At 38.0% G+C, this 18066-nt stretch overlaps 1 long non-coding RNA gene across 1 annotated transcript in view; it reads left to right on the top strand.

The window, feature by feature from the left end:
- The window catches only part of LINC02055 (long intergenic non-protein coding RNA 2055), a 366804-nt gene extending 355807 nt beyond the window's left edge, over positions 1-10997 (top strand). Inside the window, exons 5-6 of the long non-coding RNA NR_147196.1 lie at positions 10381-10474; positions 10829-10997. This is a non-coding gene — a long non-coding RNA (long intergenic non-protein coding RNA 2055). The remainder of the gene's footprint in view (positions 1-10380; positions 10475-10828) is intronic.
- Positions 10998-18066: the final 7069 nt, after the last annotated feature.

An 18066-nucleotide genomic window follows, 5' to 3' on the forward strand; every position in this document is an offset into this window, starting at 1 on the left:
AGTTTCTTCATGTATTTGCATCAATCCAAAAGCATTGAAGAGAAAAAGGAAAGTGATTATTGAATGGGAAGGGCTAGGCCACCAATCATGACTACAGCTTTTGTCTTTGCTATGTTGAAAACCAGTCAAGGCATTGGACTATATTTAAATTATTGAGTTGGTTTTGCTTTTGCAGGATAGTACTCAGGTACATAAATTAAAGCAGAAATATGGCTGTCCCTCATAGAAATTATATATTTTGTTTATTTTAAGGGATTATAATGCTGGATGGCTATTTATATTTGATGACATTTGACCTAAATGTATTTGTGGAGTAAACATAATTAATAGGAAATGTATTAGCAATAAATTGATTGCAGTATATGATTTTATTCTGGCTCATACATACATTTAGCTAACCTTCTTCTAGTCAACATATAGTCTATTGTCTTCTGCAAATAAGGAAAAATAACTACTCCATATAGGTAGATCTTGTAAAGTCCTAGCAGGGGCCTTTTCAAAAACCACTGAGATTTATAGGAAGTACATCACCCAAGGGAAGATAAGGCCTAGATATATAAGACTTAGTAGCTTGAATTTGAAGTAAAATCATTCAACGTTTTATTGTAGAATTTCTTTCTCGCCCAAGTTGTATAGACTTGCCGTGAACAAGAAAGGGAAGGGTGCAAACAAAAATAATAATAAAGAACAAGTGTTTAGGGGAATTCTTGAGGGTCACACAAATAGTAAATGGTACAACCAGGTCTAAATTCCAGATTCCTGAATTCCAAAAGGAGAGCTTCATTGTGTGTCATGCAATGTTTCTGATTCATACCATAAAATCAGTGTAAATATTTGGAACCTTTAAAAGTTAATATAAAAATATACATTATGATGAAAATTAAGACTGATAAAAATGAGCCAAGGATATGAGCAGAAAACTAAATGAAAGAAAATGCAAATGTAAATAAATAATAGAATTTGAAACAATGAATTATTTTTAGCTATAATACTGGGAAAGCTTTTAGAAATTGATGTTTAAGTAAATTATCATACACTTACTTATTTGTAGCTTTTTACATGGTGCTGATTTTGTGCTGGGCTCAGAAAAGAATATTGTACAGCCAGTGACAATGTGATTTTAAAGAATTCTAGAGATATGAAGAAATACAGAAGAACTGTTAATAAAAATGACAATATGCAGCATATATTTAATTTTTTATTTGTAATTATCTGTATAAAATGTTTCACATACATTTTATTAAATCCACAAAATTGTGGCTTAGATTTATTAAGCAACTTGCTCAAAGTTGCATAGACAGAAAGTGATAAAGCAGGAATGTTAACTCAGATCTGCCTAACTTTGTAGTACGTATTTTTAACAAAGACAATATATTCCTTCTGCATTAAAGACATAGATAATCATAATGTGAAAGTGTATTCTTAGACTAAGAGAACACATACATATGCACACACACATACGCATATACACACACACACTTCCATATGTCTAAATCTTTAATATGGGCAATTTTTACTTTGAACATTCTGCTTTTATGCAATAAATATGCACTGATTTTATAATCGTGATTTAAAAAAAACAAATGTGAGAAACTGATTGATTTTATGAGTCACAAAATAAAAAATTTTGCAAACTGGGCAGGATGTCTCTATTTTCCCTGTCTTTCTCCTGAAGGTCACACTGAATTTGGACACTGGAGAAGAGAAAGGAGAAGGCCATTCTGGCTACCCTAGGACTCAGAGACGGTATGTGCCCAAGCACCACACCACCTGGCCTCACTGGGATACAGGAATGAAAAGCAGACAGTGCAACAGACCATTTGAAGGCCCGCATAGGGCTTTGCATCTTTGGAGCCCAGAACTTGGCAAGCCCATTGTAAATGTTAAGGATGCAATGAGCCGCATTCTCTTTTTGCTTCTTAGTTATATTCTACTTTATGCTCTCCCTTAGATAGTCAAGGGTGGTTTGGGCTGTGCTAAAATTCCTGAAATGCTCTTGTCAGAGGTAGATAGAATAGGTGAGGAGGCAGGGGTGTAAGCTGTGATTTCTTTTTTTTTTTTTTTTTGTATTCTTAGTCATATGTATTTATTTATTTATTTACTTATTTTATTATACTTTAAGTTTTAGGGTACATGTGCACAATGCTCAGGTTTGTTACATATGTATACATGTGCCATGTTGGTGTGCTGCACCCATTAACTCGTCATTTAACATTAGGTATGTCTCCTAATGCTATCCCTCCCCGCTCCCCCCACTCCACAACAGGCCCCAGTATGTGAGGTTCCCCTTCCTGTGTCCATGTGTTCTCATTGTTCAATTCTCACCTATGAGTGAGAACATGCGGTGTTTGGTTTTTTGTCCTTGTGATAGTTTACTGAGAATGATGGTTTCCAGCTTCATCCATGTCCCTACAAAGGACATGAACTCATCATTTTTTGTGGCTGCATAGTATTCCATGGTGTATATATGCCACATTTTATTAATCCAGTCTATCATTGTTGGACATTTGGGTTGGTTCCAAGTCTTTGCTATTGTGAATAGTGCCACAATAAACATACGTGTGCATATGATATCTTAAGTGATTTCTATCTCAGTACTAGTGCTAGTACCTTCCAGAGGCATCGATTGATTCATCATGAATGCTCTATGATACAGACTTTATTAATCACATTCTACAGCCTAGAAAAGCTAGGCTCCATAGGTTAGTTTATGGCCTGAGATGACACGGCTAGTGCCATGACCAGGCATTTCCATTATGTTTTTCATAAAATCCCTTTATTCTCCCCTGAATCACTGCTTTTTCACCTCCCCCCATTTTGCCAGAGAAATAGTACTCTCTAACTTTAATACTAGTTCTTATGTGTCCTGATGATAACTGGATAAATAAAGACTGTACACAAAACTGATGGTCCAATAGTTATTAACATAATGCCTCAGTATAATACAAATCATAAACTCCACTACTCCAAAAGTTACTTTTTTATGTTTAAATAATTCTCCACAATACTTGAGATGTAGACTGTTGCTATTTTTTTTTATTATACTTTAAGTTTTAGGGTACATGTGCACAACGTGCAGGTTAGTTACATATGTATACATGTGACATGCTGGTGCGCTGCACCCACTAACTCGTCATCTAGCATTAGGTATATCTCCCAATGCTATCCCTCCCCCCTCCACCCACCCCACAACAGTCCCCAGAGTGTGATGTTCCCCTTCCTGTGTCCATGTGTTCTCATTGTTCAATTCCCACCTATGAGTGAGAATATGCGGTGTTTGGTTTTTTGTTCTTGTGATAGTTAACTGAGAATGATGATTTCCAATTTCATCTATGTCCCTATAAAGTACATGAACTCATCATTTTTTATGGCTGCATAGTATTCCATGGTGTATATGTACACATTTTCTTAATCCAATCTATCATTGTTGGACATTTGTGTTGGTTCCAAGTCTTTGCTATTGTGAATAGTGCCGCAATAAACATACGTGTGCATGTATCTTCATGGCAGCATGATTTATAGTCCTTTGGGTATATACCTAGTAATGGGATGGCTGGGTCAAATGGTATTTCTAGTTCTAGATCCCTGAGGAATCGCCACACTGACTTCCACAATGATTGAACTAGTTTACAGTCCCACCAACAGTGTAAAAGTGTTTATATTTCTCCACATCCTCTCCAGCACCTTTTGTTTCCTGACTTTTTAATGATTTCCATTCTAACTGGTGTGAGATGATATCTCATTGTGGTTTCGACTTGCATTTCTCTGATGGCCAGTGATGGTGAGCATTTTTTCATGTGTTTTTTGGCTGCATAAATGTCTTCTTTTGAGAAGTGTCTGTTCATGTCCTTCGCCCACTTTTTCATGGGGTTGTTTGTTTTTTTCTTGTAAATTTGTTTGAGTTCATTGTAGATTCTGGATATTAGCCCTTTGTCAGATGAGTAGGTTGCGAAAATTTTCTCCCATTTTGTGGGTTGCCTGTTCACTCTGATGGTAGTTTCTTTTGCTGTTCAGAAGCTCTTTAGTTTAATTAGATCCCATTTGTCAATTTTGGCTTTTGTTGCCATTGCTTTTGGTGTTTTAGACATGAAGTCCTTGCCCATGCCTATGTCCTGAATGGTACTGCCTAGGTTTTCTTCTAGGGTTTTTATGGTTTTAGGTCTAACGTTTAAGTCTTTAATCCATCTTGAATTGGTTTTTGTATAAGGTGTAAGAAAGGGATCCAGTTTCAGCTTTCTACATATGGCTAGCCAGTTTTCCCAGCACCATTTATTAAATAGGGAATCCTTTCCCCTATATCTAGAAAACCCCATTGGCTCAGCCCAAAATCTCCTTAAGCTGATAAGCAACTTCAGCAAAGTCTCAGGATACAAAATCAATGTACTAAAATCACAAGCATTCTTATACACCAATAACAGACAAACAGAGAGCCAAATCATGAGTGAACTCCCATTCACAATTGCTTCAAAGAGAATAAAATACCTAGGAATCCACCTTACAAGGGACGTGAAGGACCTCTTCAAGGAGAACTACAAACCACTGCTCAATGAAATAAAAGAGGATACAAACAAATGGAAGAACATTCCATGCTCATGGGTAGGAAGAATCAATATCGTGAAAATGGCCATACTGCCCAAGGTAATTTATAGATTCAATGCCATCCCCATCAAGCTACCAATGACTTTCTTCACAGAATTGGAAAAAACTACTTTAAAGTTCATATAGAACCAAAAAAGAGCCCTGATCGTCAAGTCAGTCCTAAGCCAAAAGAACAAAACTGGAGGCATCACGCTACCTGACTTCAAACTATACTACAAGGCTACAGTAACCAAAACAGCATGGTACTGGTACCAAAACAGAGATATAGATCAATGGAACAGAACACAGCCCTCAGAAATAATGCCGCATATCTACAACTATCTGATCTTTGACAAACGTGAGAAAGACTGTTGCTGTTGAATGCATGGTCTGAGAGCTAGTAATGTAGCCATAGTAATCAATAAAAACTTACTGATTATTTTAACTAATGCAGTTCAACTTATGCAGATCATTGACATGAATATGTGACATTGTGACATTGGCTGATAAAAATAATAGCTGACAATTATAACATTTATTGACTGCTCACCACAGGCTGGATTCCCTGGTAACTACTTTACATGCTTCATATCATGCAACATATGAAGCATGATTACACTGGACTTCAACCTATGAAGCAAATTACACTGAACTTTAAGTGGAAAAGTAGGCACCTCAAGTGTGCCTTTTTTTAAACAATGTCTGGATGGGTCAAGGCTTTCATTGCTGATGACAACAATTTTATGAAAACGTCCTATTATCCCTATGTTAGAGATGAATAAGATGAGTCTTTAAAACATTGCATCAATTCTAAGTACCACGGTTGAGTTTTAGACTTACAACTGTTCCAGCCTCAAAAACTAATTTTTAGCTAGTACATTCGGTTGCTTCTTTTTGAGGCTTTTACAAACTGGCAGTGGAAAAAGAGTAATATGCCTAAAGCTGTATTTCACTGGAGGTTATCTGAGGTGCAAGAGAGGCTACCTCAGACGAACAAGTCTTATGTTAAAAGAAATACAGGAGAGTCTCTGTAAGGTGTGCTTATTAACACATCGTCTAAATGATCTCTTCTTTAGATGTACATAGAGTGTTTCATTAATGGATCTGAGAGAAGCAGTAAGAAATTAAAGGAGAAAATCAAAGAAATGTCTGGGATCCCAGGAGTTTACAATTTCTATCCAGAGTGCAGCTCAAATTTCTCCAAAAATAGGCAAATGAAGAAGGTTGATACTTAACACTCTTTAGGGAAGCATTTTGCTGTCTAGGATATTTTATATACTTTGGGTAAGTGAATGTGAAAAGCAGATTACACTGGACCTTAAATGGAAAGGCAGGCAACCAGAGAGTGCCTTTGTTTAACAATGCCTGAATAGGTCAAGGCTTTCATAGCTGATGAAAATTTTAGCATATTAATCCATTTAGGAAGCTGGATTCCTCATCTTGTGCTTGATTGCTAATCACAGACATTACATTATGGGCAAGCTGAGGTAGGCAAGCTCCTGGCATATTGGGATCAAAACACACTTTTAGAACTAAAGCGTGGTACTCCTCAAAGTTGCCATCTTATGTTGAAAAAGTGCCAGAGCTCTTGGCTTTAATCCTGCGCTGTCAGCTGCAGCCCCAAACATAGCTGATCATACGGGTCTCCTGATCAAAAAACTTTCAGTGGCTCAGCACAGCCTACAGAGTAAAATAGTTGTCCCAAAATCTCAGGGACTTAGACATCCAACAGAAATTTCTGTTCATTCTGCCTCTAAAACACTCTAGACTCTGACCACGTCTTATCGTAACCTAAGGTGCCATTCAAGTACTCAAAACCCCACATACCACTGTACCATTCTCTCTCTCTCTCTCTCTCTCTCTCTCTCTCTCTTTCTCTCTCTTTATCCTCTCCCCTCATTCACATACCATAGAGACAGAGATGAGGGTGAGAGACACATACTTTTTTCTCTCTCTGTTTTTATTATGGAACATATTAAACAGATACCAAATTAGACACAATAAAAAACTTGATGTATCCATCACTCAACTTTAACAATGAATATTTTATGGGCAACATTATTTATTTATATCCACACTCACCCTCTTCCTCATACTTTCATTTGGATTAAACCCAGATATTATATTGTCCCACCTAGAAAAGAATATCAGTATATTTCTCTAAAAGATAAGGACTCTTAAAAAGCATAATTACAAAGGCATTTTGACATCTAAAAACCCACCATTTTAATATTGCCATACATTGAGGCAGTGCTCGCATTTTTATAAATGGCACATGCATGCACATGGATATATATGTAAGTGTACATTGCAATGGTTGGAATGTTTGTGTCCCTCTGAAATTCATTTTTTTAAAATGTAATCCCCAATCTGTTGGTATTAAGAGGTGGAGCCCTTGGGAGGTGACTAGGTCATGAGGGTTTCCCTTGAGAATGAGATTAGTGACTTTATAAAAGAGGCTGGCGGGAACTTGTCTGGCCCTGACCATGTGAGGACACAGCAAGCAGGCACTGTCTCTGAAGCAGAGAGTGAGCCCTTACCAGAAACCAGATCTGCTGGCACCTCCACTTTGGACTTCCCAGCCTCTAGAACCATGAGCAATAAATTTCTGTTGTTTATAAATTTTCCAGTCTACAATATTTTGTTACAGCAGTCCCAAACTGACTAAGCCGTATGTATATTTTTATGTATAGTTGACTCTTAAACAACATGGGTTTGAACTACCTGCATAGATCCACTCATATATGGATTTTCTTCTGCCTCTGCTGTCACTGAGACATCAAGACCAACCTCGTCTCTTTCTCCTCTTCCTCAGCCTATGTAATTTGAAGACAGCGAAACTAAAGACCTTTATGATAATCTAATTACATGTAATAAACAGTAAATATATTTTATCTTCTTTATGATTTTCTTAATAACACTTTCTTTTCTTTAGCTTACTTTATTGTAAGAATATCATATAAAATATATATAACATACAAAATATGTGTTAACTGATTATTCATTGGTCAGATTTCCTGTCAACAGTAGGCTATTAGTAGTTAAGTTTTTGGGAGTCAAAAGTTATACACGAATTTTCAAATGTGTGAAGATATAGTACCCTAACCCCCAAGTTGTCCAAGGGCCGACTGTATGGATAGAAGGATGGATAGATGATAGATAGATAGATAGATGGATATAGCTATATCTATAAATATAGAGAAAAATATAAATATAGAAATATAAATATAGACATATATAAATATACATATGAATAAATATAAATGTAGATGTGCATGTAATATATAGTGTGTTTATTAAATTTGTATCCAAACAGGAATTGGTTGATTTGTCCCTTAAGTAACTTTAATTCATAGGGTTACCCTGCATCTCCTTAGTGGTTGTTACTATGTCTTGACCTGGAGAAACAATTTCTGTCACAGCCTCCTTTCCCACTACACTCTTCTCCATTCATCAACCTGAACTTCAGAGTATAAATTTTATCACCTCTGCTGAGCCCTTCTAAAACTTTCCATTACACTCAGAATAATGTCGAAGTCCCCTAATGTGACCATAAGAATCATAGAGAATCATGTCCTCTCATCTCTGGGAGCTCATCTCCTCTGGGCTCCCCTTGTTCGCTTGGCTCCAGCCACATTAGTGCTTTTTCTCTGACTCTAGATCATGCCAAGTTCTCAGGATCACTAATCCCTCTGCAGAAGGGATCTGCCCTAGATGTTGCTGTGACTGCCCTTTTCTTATTGCTTATGTTACCACTCAAATGTTACTTCTCAGAAAGGATCACTCTCTGAAAGTAGTGCCCACATCACAAACAACGTGTGCTCCCTTTACTTTGTGTATATATATATATATCTTATTCTTACTCCACCTGGATGAAGCCCCTTAAAGCCAATGACTGGGTCTCCTTTATCAGTTTCTATATCCTGGAGCCCAGGACTGAGCCTGGCATGCAGCATTGCCTCAGTAAATCTTCGTTAATTAGACTCCCTTGAATAATGAACAACATTTGAGTTTTCTATTAAGCATTCCTTTCTCTTCATCAACCCCAACAGTTTCATAATTACATTCTGCTCTCTTATGCTTAGGCACTTTTCAGGGTGATTTAGGTGGTCCTCATCACTGCACCATCACTCCTAAATGTGGTGTGATGATTCAAGTCAGGCTGCAATACAGTCAGGGAATGTGCATCAAGCCATGATATTTAGACCTGCTGCATTCTGTTGGCGTTGCTAGGCCACAAGGATCTCATCCAGAGATAGAAATCTGCCATTTAATTCACAATGTGAAGCTATATGAGCTGCTTGATATGTTTTATCTCATTGGATTTTCGTTATCCCATTTTTTGCAGTTTGAGGAGACTTAAGACTCAAGGAGCTTAACATGCATTACACAGTGGAGGAGCTGTGATTTAAACTGGCATAAATTTGACAATAAAACCAGGCCTCTTCACTCAAGAAAGTGAGAGGCTAGTCATTGACCCATAGAAGACTGGTCAGCATCCTTCACAACAGCTGAATGTCATTTCATGAGGGCAGAAAAGTCCTTATAATTAATTGAGCCTAGAATGAAACTCCATGTCTCTATAAACACCGTCTATGTTTGGTAGAGTTTTAACATATTTTTGCTTTGTCTAGAAATGTTCAAAATTTCCAAGAATCAAAGCACCAACAGCAAATGATGCTTATGGAATTTGTTAAGCCAATACCACTTAGGTAAACTATTTGCTTTACTGAGTATATTGTGCAAAAATATAGCAGAGGAGATTCCTCCTTCTGTTACAGGCTTGGAACTTAAATTAGCTGAGACTCATGAGACATATGGATTGCAATGAATTTTATTCATGAAGATTACTTATACATAATATACATATTATTGGCTGAGACAGGGTCTCACTCTGTCACCCAGGCTGGAGTGCAGTGGTACACTGCAGCTTACCGCAGCTTCGAGCCAGGATCAGTTGATCCTCCCACCTCAGCCTCCTGAGAGTTGGGACTACAGGCACATGCCACTATGCCCAGTTAATTATTATATTTTTTGTAGAGATGTGGTTTTGCCATGTTGCCAAGGCTAGTCTCAAATCTGTGGACTCAAGCGATCCTCCTGCCTCAGCCTCTGAAAGTGCTGGTATTACAGGAATAAGCCACTGTGCCTAGCCTATATTTCAAATATCTGTGGCATATTGGTAAGGAATCTCTGTTGTGAAAAATGTATATTGAAATGAATTACTAACTTTGGGTTTGCCTCTTTATTTTCCATCAATCTTCTCTTGTTACTGTAGACCCCAGAGGTCTACCCCAAAACTCTTTAGCTTCTTACATTACTGCTTCTTTTTGTAGTTCATCCTCTATTTCTTATTGCTTCACTAAACAATCCTCTACTTATTAATGCTTCACATGGTCTCCAAGATGTTTTAAAGTATTCAGTTCTGAATGCCTTTACGTGTGGTGGAGTTTCAATATAGACAACATATTCATCTCTTATATTTCACAAAAATAAGGAGGTGGGGTATTTTTCTGGCCCAAAAAGAAGTCCAGATATAGGCAATTTAGGACTGATGCAGATGTTTGGTACTACCATCAAGAACCGATGCTCTTTCAATATTTCTTCTCTTCTATCATTGGCATGTTGGCTTAATCTTCATGCTTCTCACTTCTTGCTTACAGAATGGCTAATGCTTAATGCCTCAGGTCCCTACTGAGACAGGAGCAAGAGATCAAGAAGAAAGGAATATAAGAATTCCATTTATGTTTATTTGACCTCATGGAGAGGGGATTGGATAAATGGAATTTTCACTCTTTACAGACTTTAAAGAAGAATCAGAAAATGGAGACTGGGATTGGAAGCAGAGATCCGATGGCCAAATTACAGTCTGCCACTGAAGCTAACACACCTATGGGTAAGAAAAGATCTCACTAAGAGGCAGAATTTCAGTTAGGCCTTCATGGAGTGTTTTCACAGTTAGAAGGGAAAGGGACTTTTCAGGCAGAAATAGCAACAAGTGCAAAGGAACAGAGACAACAATGAAGTCACATATATAACCAATTACATATATACAATATAATACATTGTGTCTGGCAGGGTCACAAAGATTCAGACCGTATCAGTACTTATCTTTATCATATGAGATACAGATAAATACTGCTATGATCTGAATGTTTGTGTCCCTCCCAAATACATATGCTGAAACCCTGCCCCCTAAGGTGATGGTATTAGGATTGTGTGGCCTCTGATTAGTGCTTTTCTATAAAAGTTTCAGAGTATTCTTTAGTCTCTTCCACCATGTGAGGGCACAGTGAAAGGAAGGACTTCTATGGAGCAGAATGTGGGCCCTTACCAACACTGAGTCTTCCATTGCCTTGACCTTTAACTTCCCGGCCTTCACAACAGTGAGAAATAAATTTCTGTAGTTTATAAGCCAATCAGTCTATGGTGTTTTTTTTACAGCAACCCGAATGGACAAAGACAGGTACCTACAGTGAACTCAGTATTCAGATTCACAACAGTGATTAAGAAAACATTATCACTCAGAGAGTTTGTAATGTGATAGAAAAGAAGAATGTCAAACATTTTTTAAAGTAAAAAGATTATGAAATAATGAAAACATTCAGGAAAATATGTTGATTCCTAGCAAGAATATATAATAGTTTTTGTGAGAGAAGGATCATTGGATTCTTTCCTGAAAAAGTTGCTTTTGAGAAGACACTTGAAAGATAATAGCCATTATCCAGCAAATATGTTTGCAAGGAGAACAGGATACTCAAGGAATAGAAAACAGCATATGCAAAGTTATAGACTATGATCAAAAACAATTAAAAAAATTAAAAGACAGTAAATATATCCAAGGTGGGCAGAACAAAGAGGATGTGGGGAAGAGGGGCTAAGATGAGACTTTACATACAGGAAGGGCCCTAATGAGCCATGTGAAGGAATCAAAGAAAGTGGAATATTTAGAACTAATGAAAAGTCCAGTGAAGGGAGAATATTCTGGCTTTTCATATTTCTTACTTGGGCCTGTAAGACTGTGTGAGCTGCTTCTTGCTGAATTCTCCATATACTCTTTCACCTTCCTTCGCCTTCACTTAGGCTACTATGGCCTTCTTTTCCTCCAATATGCCAAGGACTGGGGGTCCCTGATTCCTTCATGTCATAAAATTCATTATTCTATTCCATCCGTAGTTGTGGAGCCCCCTGGGCAGTGAGAAAGGTCAGGTTTTTGATTGGCAAAGTAAGCCTCAAGACATTTTTAATTGCTCTTTCCTCCTACTAGACAACTTTCTCCCCTCATTTATGCATTGCTGGCTCTTTCTTAATATTAAAGTTTTTCATTTGCCAGAAAACAGAGCCTCAGACACAGACTTTCATGCAGGTAGTTTAGCCTGGATGTGTTATCTGAAGAGCTTAGTAAATGGTAAGTGTGAGACAGGGAAGAAGGAAGAACACTGTTAAGCTGGTTTCTGCTGTGGCAGTTTGGGCTCAGTGACTGTTGAAAAGCCACGTAGAATGAACCTTACACTTGTCCACCCAAAGGATAAAAAGAAGGAACTTAATCTTCTGAATGACATCTGCCATTGGTCAAGCGTTGGCCTTGGTGTGTTAATTCTCTTGTCCTTCTTGGTTTGTACATCTGTGAAGGTATAATGGTTTTCTGCAGGCATTTTACACTGCAAATTCAGATACATACTGAGTAGAATAGAAGAGGTACTAGGTGTAACTGAGGCAAGGAAATGTTGGCTTGCAGTCTTTGAAGCTGATTGCTAAAGCTTTAGTGAGAGAGATGGAGAGAATGAGGGGTGAGGTTCAAAAGATATCCACTGAAGAGCTCAGCTCAAATACTACTTTCTTAGAGAGGCCTTCTTCAACTACCCAACCTAAAATATTGTCAACCACACTTCTGCCCCCTTTCACAAGTCCTGCATTTAAAAATTTTCGTAGCATTTAGCCCTCTTTGGAATTACAATATTTTCTTATTTATTTAACTATCATCTGTCCACCTTCCACCAGAACATAGCTCCATTCTGTCCTTCTCACAATCTCTGGCTTCTGGCAGGGTGTTGGCTATTAAGAGCCCTCAATAAATAATTGAGAAGCACAGACAAAAAATGAAGTTGGAAAATCATTGAGAGAAACTCATAAAAGTTCATATAAATCACACTAAGTTGTTTGAGTTTATATCTTTATGTCTTGGGAAACAATTTTGCAGGCAGTTTTGTTCTCATTCCACAGCTATAGAAGGTGGATCTCAGAATGTTCAGGTTTACAGGCCACATATGCTAAAAGTGCTTATGGGACTACAATACAAACACCATTCGTTTAAGTCCCAAAGCTCCCTCAAGTCCCGGTACTGGCATAACTTAATGCTGCCTCTCAAGATTAAAAACACGGATCAAGAATATCCACAGGTTTTTGGCTTCAAAAGCAGCATACTCACCTTATTAGGAAATACTTCTGGATTTCCTAGGCTAGGTGAATCACACCATGTCTGTAAAATAACAATTTTCCTCCTAAAAGCTAAGCTCTTGTGTTAACAGCCCTATTACCCCATTAACTGTGCACCTCTAACCCCCGTGCTTCTGGTAACATTTTTGTAACTGCCCAATCTGACTTCCAATGTCATCTAGAGTGGCATTTGAGTCATATCTTCTCTTTATTCCAACTGTATATGGTGCAGGCCTCTATAGATATTTTCAAGAATTAAATAAATGAAATAACTAGTTGATTAGTAAAGCGTATCATACAATGATTACAACCATAAATTGTTTTCAAAAAATTATCATATATAAAATACATGAGAGAATTAGCAGATCTCAGTGTTTCTGATCTTGTAAGCATCTGGACATCCAACTGTTTTGTTTGTTTGTTTGTTTGTTTGCTTGCTTTTTTTTTTTTTTTTTTTTTTTTTCCTGAGACTGAATCTTGCTCTGTCGCCCAGGCTGGAGTGCAGTGGCATGATCTCAGCTCATTGCAAGCTTCGCCTCCCGGGTTCACGCCATTCTCCTGCCTCTGCTTCCTGGGTAGCTGGGACTACAGGCACCCGCCACCATGCCCGGCTAATTTTTTTGTATTTTTAGTAGATATGGGGTTTCACCGTGTTACCAGGATGGTCTCGATCTCCTGACCTCATGATCCGCCCATCTCAGCCTCCCAAAGTGCTGTGATTTACAGGCATGAGCCACTGTGCCTGGCCTTGTTTGCTTTTTTCTTTCTTTTTGTTATTGAGGTATACCATACATATATACAAAGTGCTCAGATATTGAGGGTATGGCTCAATGTATCTTCTGGATAGAGATTTGCATACATATAGAATGAAGTTTGAATACTTTCTATGTAGCATGGAGATCAAGACACAGAACTTTTGCAGTATCCCTGAAATATTCATTCACCTTCCCAGTTAACACTTCACTACACTGAGGTAAGTATTATATTGACTTCTATTAGATTAGTTTTGCTTTTCCTTGTATTTCATGTGAACAGAATCATAAAATATGTGCTTCTTAATACCTGGCTTGTTTTCCTCAATATTGAGACTGAAAAATTTATCCATGTTGATATGTGTAGCAGTAGTGTTTTGTTTGCTTCTGATTATTTTTCACTGTATGACTAGATCGCAATTTATTCACAATTCTAGTGTCGATGATTTCCTCCCTCCCTGTTTTTGGCTGTTATAAACAAAGCTGCTTCAGATGTTCTTAAGTCTTTGGGGGCATGTGCACTCATTGCCCCTGGACATATATCTCAGAGTGCAGTTCCTGATCCAGGGGTAGATTATGCTTAGATTGAGTAGTTTCTGCCACTTTCCCAAAGTAAATATAACAAATTATTCTCCCTTCAGCAATGTTTTACAGTGCTAGGGGTTCGAAGTCTTTGAAGGCAAGAGATTTGCATTGTTTCTTTGTATCATCCATCATGCATTCCATATGCTTTACTTAGCAGGTGCTCACTAAATATTTGTCGAAGAGCTCATGCGATTCCTCTCCCCTCGTGAGAAAAATATCTGACCAAATGGTGAGACTGGTTTCATTGCATCCAAAGGCACTGCAGGAGCACCATCAAGATGGCAAACTTGGCAACTGCAGTTGCTGAAGCTTGATGTTTTGTTTTGCTTTGTTTTAAGAATGTTTTCATCCTAATACATTATTTTTGTGACGAATCATATCATGAATAATTAGACTGATCAAAACTGGAACCAGATAAATGACCTGCTCTGCAACTGAGCTCTTTAACAAATGTGCAGTGCCCTGGAAGCAGCCATTGTCCAATCCCTAGGCAAAGCTCCTTGATTCAGGACACATTCCTTTACCCAGGAAGACAACAGCATTATAGAATGCAGGACCACAAATCTCCCCAGAGATTAGATATTCAGCCCAAACTCTCCTCTGGATGCGAAGGCAATGTGAGCTAGGGGAAATGAAGAAAGGACATTAGAGTAAAAAACAATAAAAGTTAATGAGGTTTGAATACTGCCTATGTAACAGGGTGACCTTTGCAAGAGTTTTTAAAACTATAAGCCTCTATTCTCTTGTATATAAGTTAAGGATAATATTTACTTTGTAGTGTTTTTATGAAAAGAAGATGTAAAATTTTGAAGTGTAAGGCAGGTGCCCAGCTATTGGCAGTGATAGCAATAATATAACATACAAACAATAAGTATCATCTAGTAGATGCATTAAAGATGTGCCAGGCACAGTAGTAAGCACTTTGCATCATTATCTCATTTTATCCTTCTGAAAGAATGCAGAATGCCATGGTAGAGCTAAATACTTAACTGAGAGTCAGGCATTTGGCCAAAAAGAGGTGGACAGTTTGGTTATGTCTCTTCTACCACTTATCTTGGTTAAATGTCTTGATTTTTCTTGCCTCTTCTTTCAAATCTATCAAATAGTGTTGTTGGATTAAAGTCTTATATACTACAAAATTATATTACCTATGTGTCTCACACTTACAGCACATCAAATAAAACCAAGATAAAAAAATACGTAAGCAGCTATTATGTACCAATAAGTTTAATAGACAGCTCCTGCCCTCAAAAGACCTCTAATTATAATATCATATGGTAAGAGTTCCTGTAGGAAGTAGCATTAAATTTGACTTTGAAGAATGAATAGGTGTATTGTAGGGAGGGGTATTCATTTGTGTAAATGCTTGGAAATGAGTAGAAACACACTTCATTCTACGAAATCTGAGAAGCTCTTTTCTTAGGGAAACAAATGATGTGGGTATAAAATAAAAGTGTCAAGAACTGTGGCTGGAAAATAAGTTGAGGTCAAATGGGAACCCAATTAGGGTCACAAAAAATTGAACCTAGAATCCATTTTTCTTTGATGGCTTATTTCCTATGGAAGGCTCATATCAGCACATTTCCTGGTTTTCAGATGACAAAATATGAATTGGCCTTGATTATTACTCCTCAGAGTGTTCAGGGGTGGGTCCCTCTTGATTTGTGTGGGGACAAGTTTAGTGCAGTGTTTAGACAGTGTGGCTTTAATTCTGTGCACACAGTTAGCATGGGAGATTGCTTCCTCTGACATTATTATGAGCCATGAAGTTCTCAGATTTTACTGCTTCAAGTGAATCAAGCCATTTTCCAAAATGAATTATGGATCATAAACCCTTGGGGTGGCTATAGTGTTGCATTTTTGTGAAATCCATATTCGGGATGGACATTTATTGAGCACATAACTATTATAAAGTGTTAGCTGCAAAGTAAGTTTGGCTTGTGGTTGACTCAGCAGCAGAGGAGTTTAACATGTTCATTTCTGAGTGTTGGATTCCAATCTGCTCTTCTAAAATCCCATGTAAATGGGGTTTGGAGGTTTAGGCAATAGTCCAAGATGTGACTAGGATCAGACCCAGGCTCAGTTAAAGGTTCTGTGTATCGTCTCTGGGCAGAAAAACACTCAGCAGATGCTAAATAAGATAATTTTTTGGAGATAAAATTTATGAGCTAAATTGAATGACTTCAATTTTACCAACCTACTCAACCTATACCATCTCTCCACTATCTTCCTTGCCTGCAAAGTGATGGGAGATAAAGACAGAGACATAGAGACACATACAGAGAGAAAACAGAGAGATAGAGAAACAGACAAATAGAAAATGAGGCACGGAGACAAAAACAGAGACAGAGACAGACAGAGAAAGATGGCTGGTAGGCAGCGGGACAGAGAGAGTCAAGAAGGGAGAGAGGAAGGAGAGAGAGGGGTTGGGATGAGGATCTTCAGTTCTTATGCCATTGTTTTCTCCACTCACTTAGCTGATAATACTCAGGTATTTCCAGTCTTCTCAAGAAGCTCTCAGATGCATCCCCTCCTATTCTCCCAACTGCCCAAACATCTGATCATCAGCCACACCAGTTCCCTTATCTTCTTATGCAGGTTGCCATCTTTTGTTTATTTGCTTATGAATCTAAGTCTTCAGTGCTGTTATCCTTGTAGAGATGGACTTTGCTTCATCTCTGTGCACTTACACCTACATCCATACATTGAATCTTCTAGGGGCAATTCTCCCCCCTATGAGAATAAATCATTCTCCTCTGTGTTCTCATAGCGTTTTATTCAAGTTGCCTAAATATAATTTCATCTACTTTGATTTAGTGTTTGTGTTTTACCTATCTCCGTTTTAGACTGTGAGCTATTTGAAGACAGGGATGACGTTGTTTCATTCATTTGATCTCTCAGAGGACTGGTCTGGTAATGAGTGGCAAGCATTGCACTGAGAATGAGGGAACGGAGAAGAATTAATGCTGTCCAAGAAGCCCGCAGGACAGCCTGGGTCAGAGTTGGTAAAATCCAATGTGACTACAGCAAAGTGAGAAAGAAGCTGCAGGTGTGAGGGGAATCCAATGAACATCTTGCTATAGAGTGAGTCAGAAATATTGTGTGAAATGAGCCTGGTTAAATGAAAAGAATTTAGTAGGCAAAGAATAAGATAAAGATAATATATAAGGAGAGAGACTCATGTACTGTGTTCCAAATCAAACAGAACATTCAGTTCTTGGGAAATTGCAAAAAGTCAGGATGATTAGAACAAAGAATAACTTTTTGATCTATAGTTACTCCATTTTTGCAAAGGGAGAAGGGACAGAGGAGGTTAACATAAAATGTGTTCTCTAGGTGTCTACTATGTGACAGGGCTCCATGTTTTAAAGTCTTGTTTAATATGATACAGAGAAGGCAAGCCCCAAAGTGGAGCTTAGCCCACTGGGTTCTTGGCTTTGCCCTGGAAAGATTTCAAGGGCAAACCAGAGGTAAAAGAAAATAGCTTTACTGAAGAAGCAGTGTTACAGCTCTGTAACTGCTCCTGCAAAGAAGGGCTACCCTGTAGGAAGAGAGCAGCAGCTCAGGGCAGTTCTGGAGTCATAGTTATACCCACATTTAACTGTGTGCAGATTAAGGGGTGGTTTATGCAGAAACTTGGGGGAAAGGGATAGTACCTTTGGGTCATTGGGTCATTGCTATGGAAAGGGGTGGTGACACCCAGGTGTTGCCATGG

The sequence above is a fragment of the Homo sapiens genome, chromosome 8, assembly GCF_000001405.40.
Source record: "Homo sapiens chromosome 8, GRCh38.p14 Primary Assembly".
Classification (NCBI taxonomy): domain Eukaryota; kingdom Metazoa; phylum Chordata; class Mammalia; order Primates; family Hominidae; genus Homo; species Homo sapiens.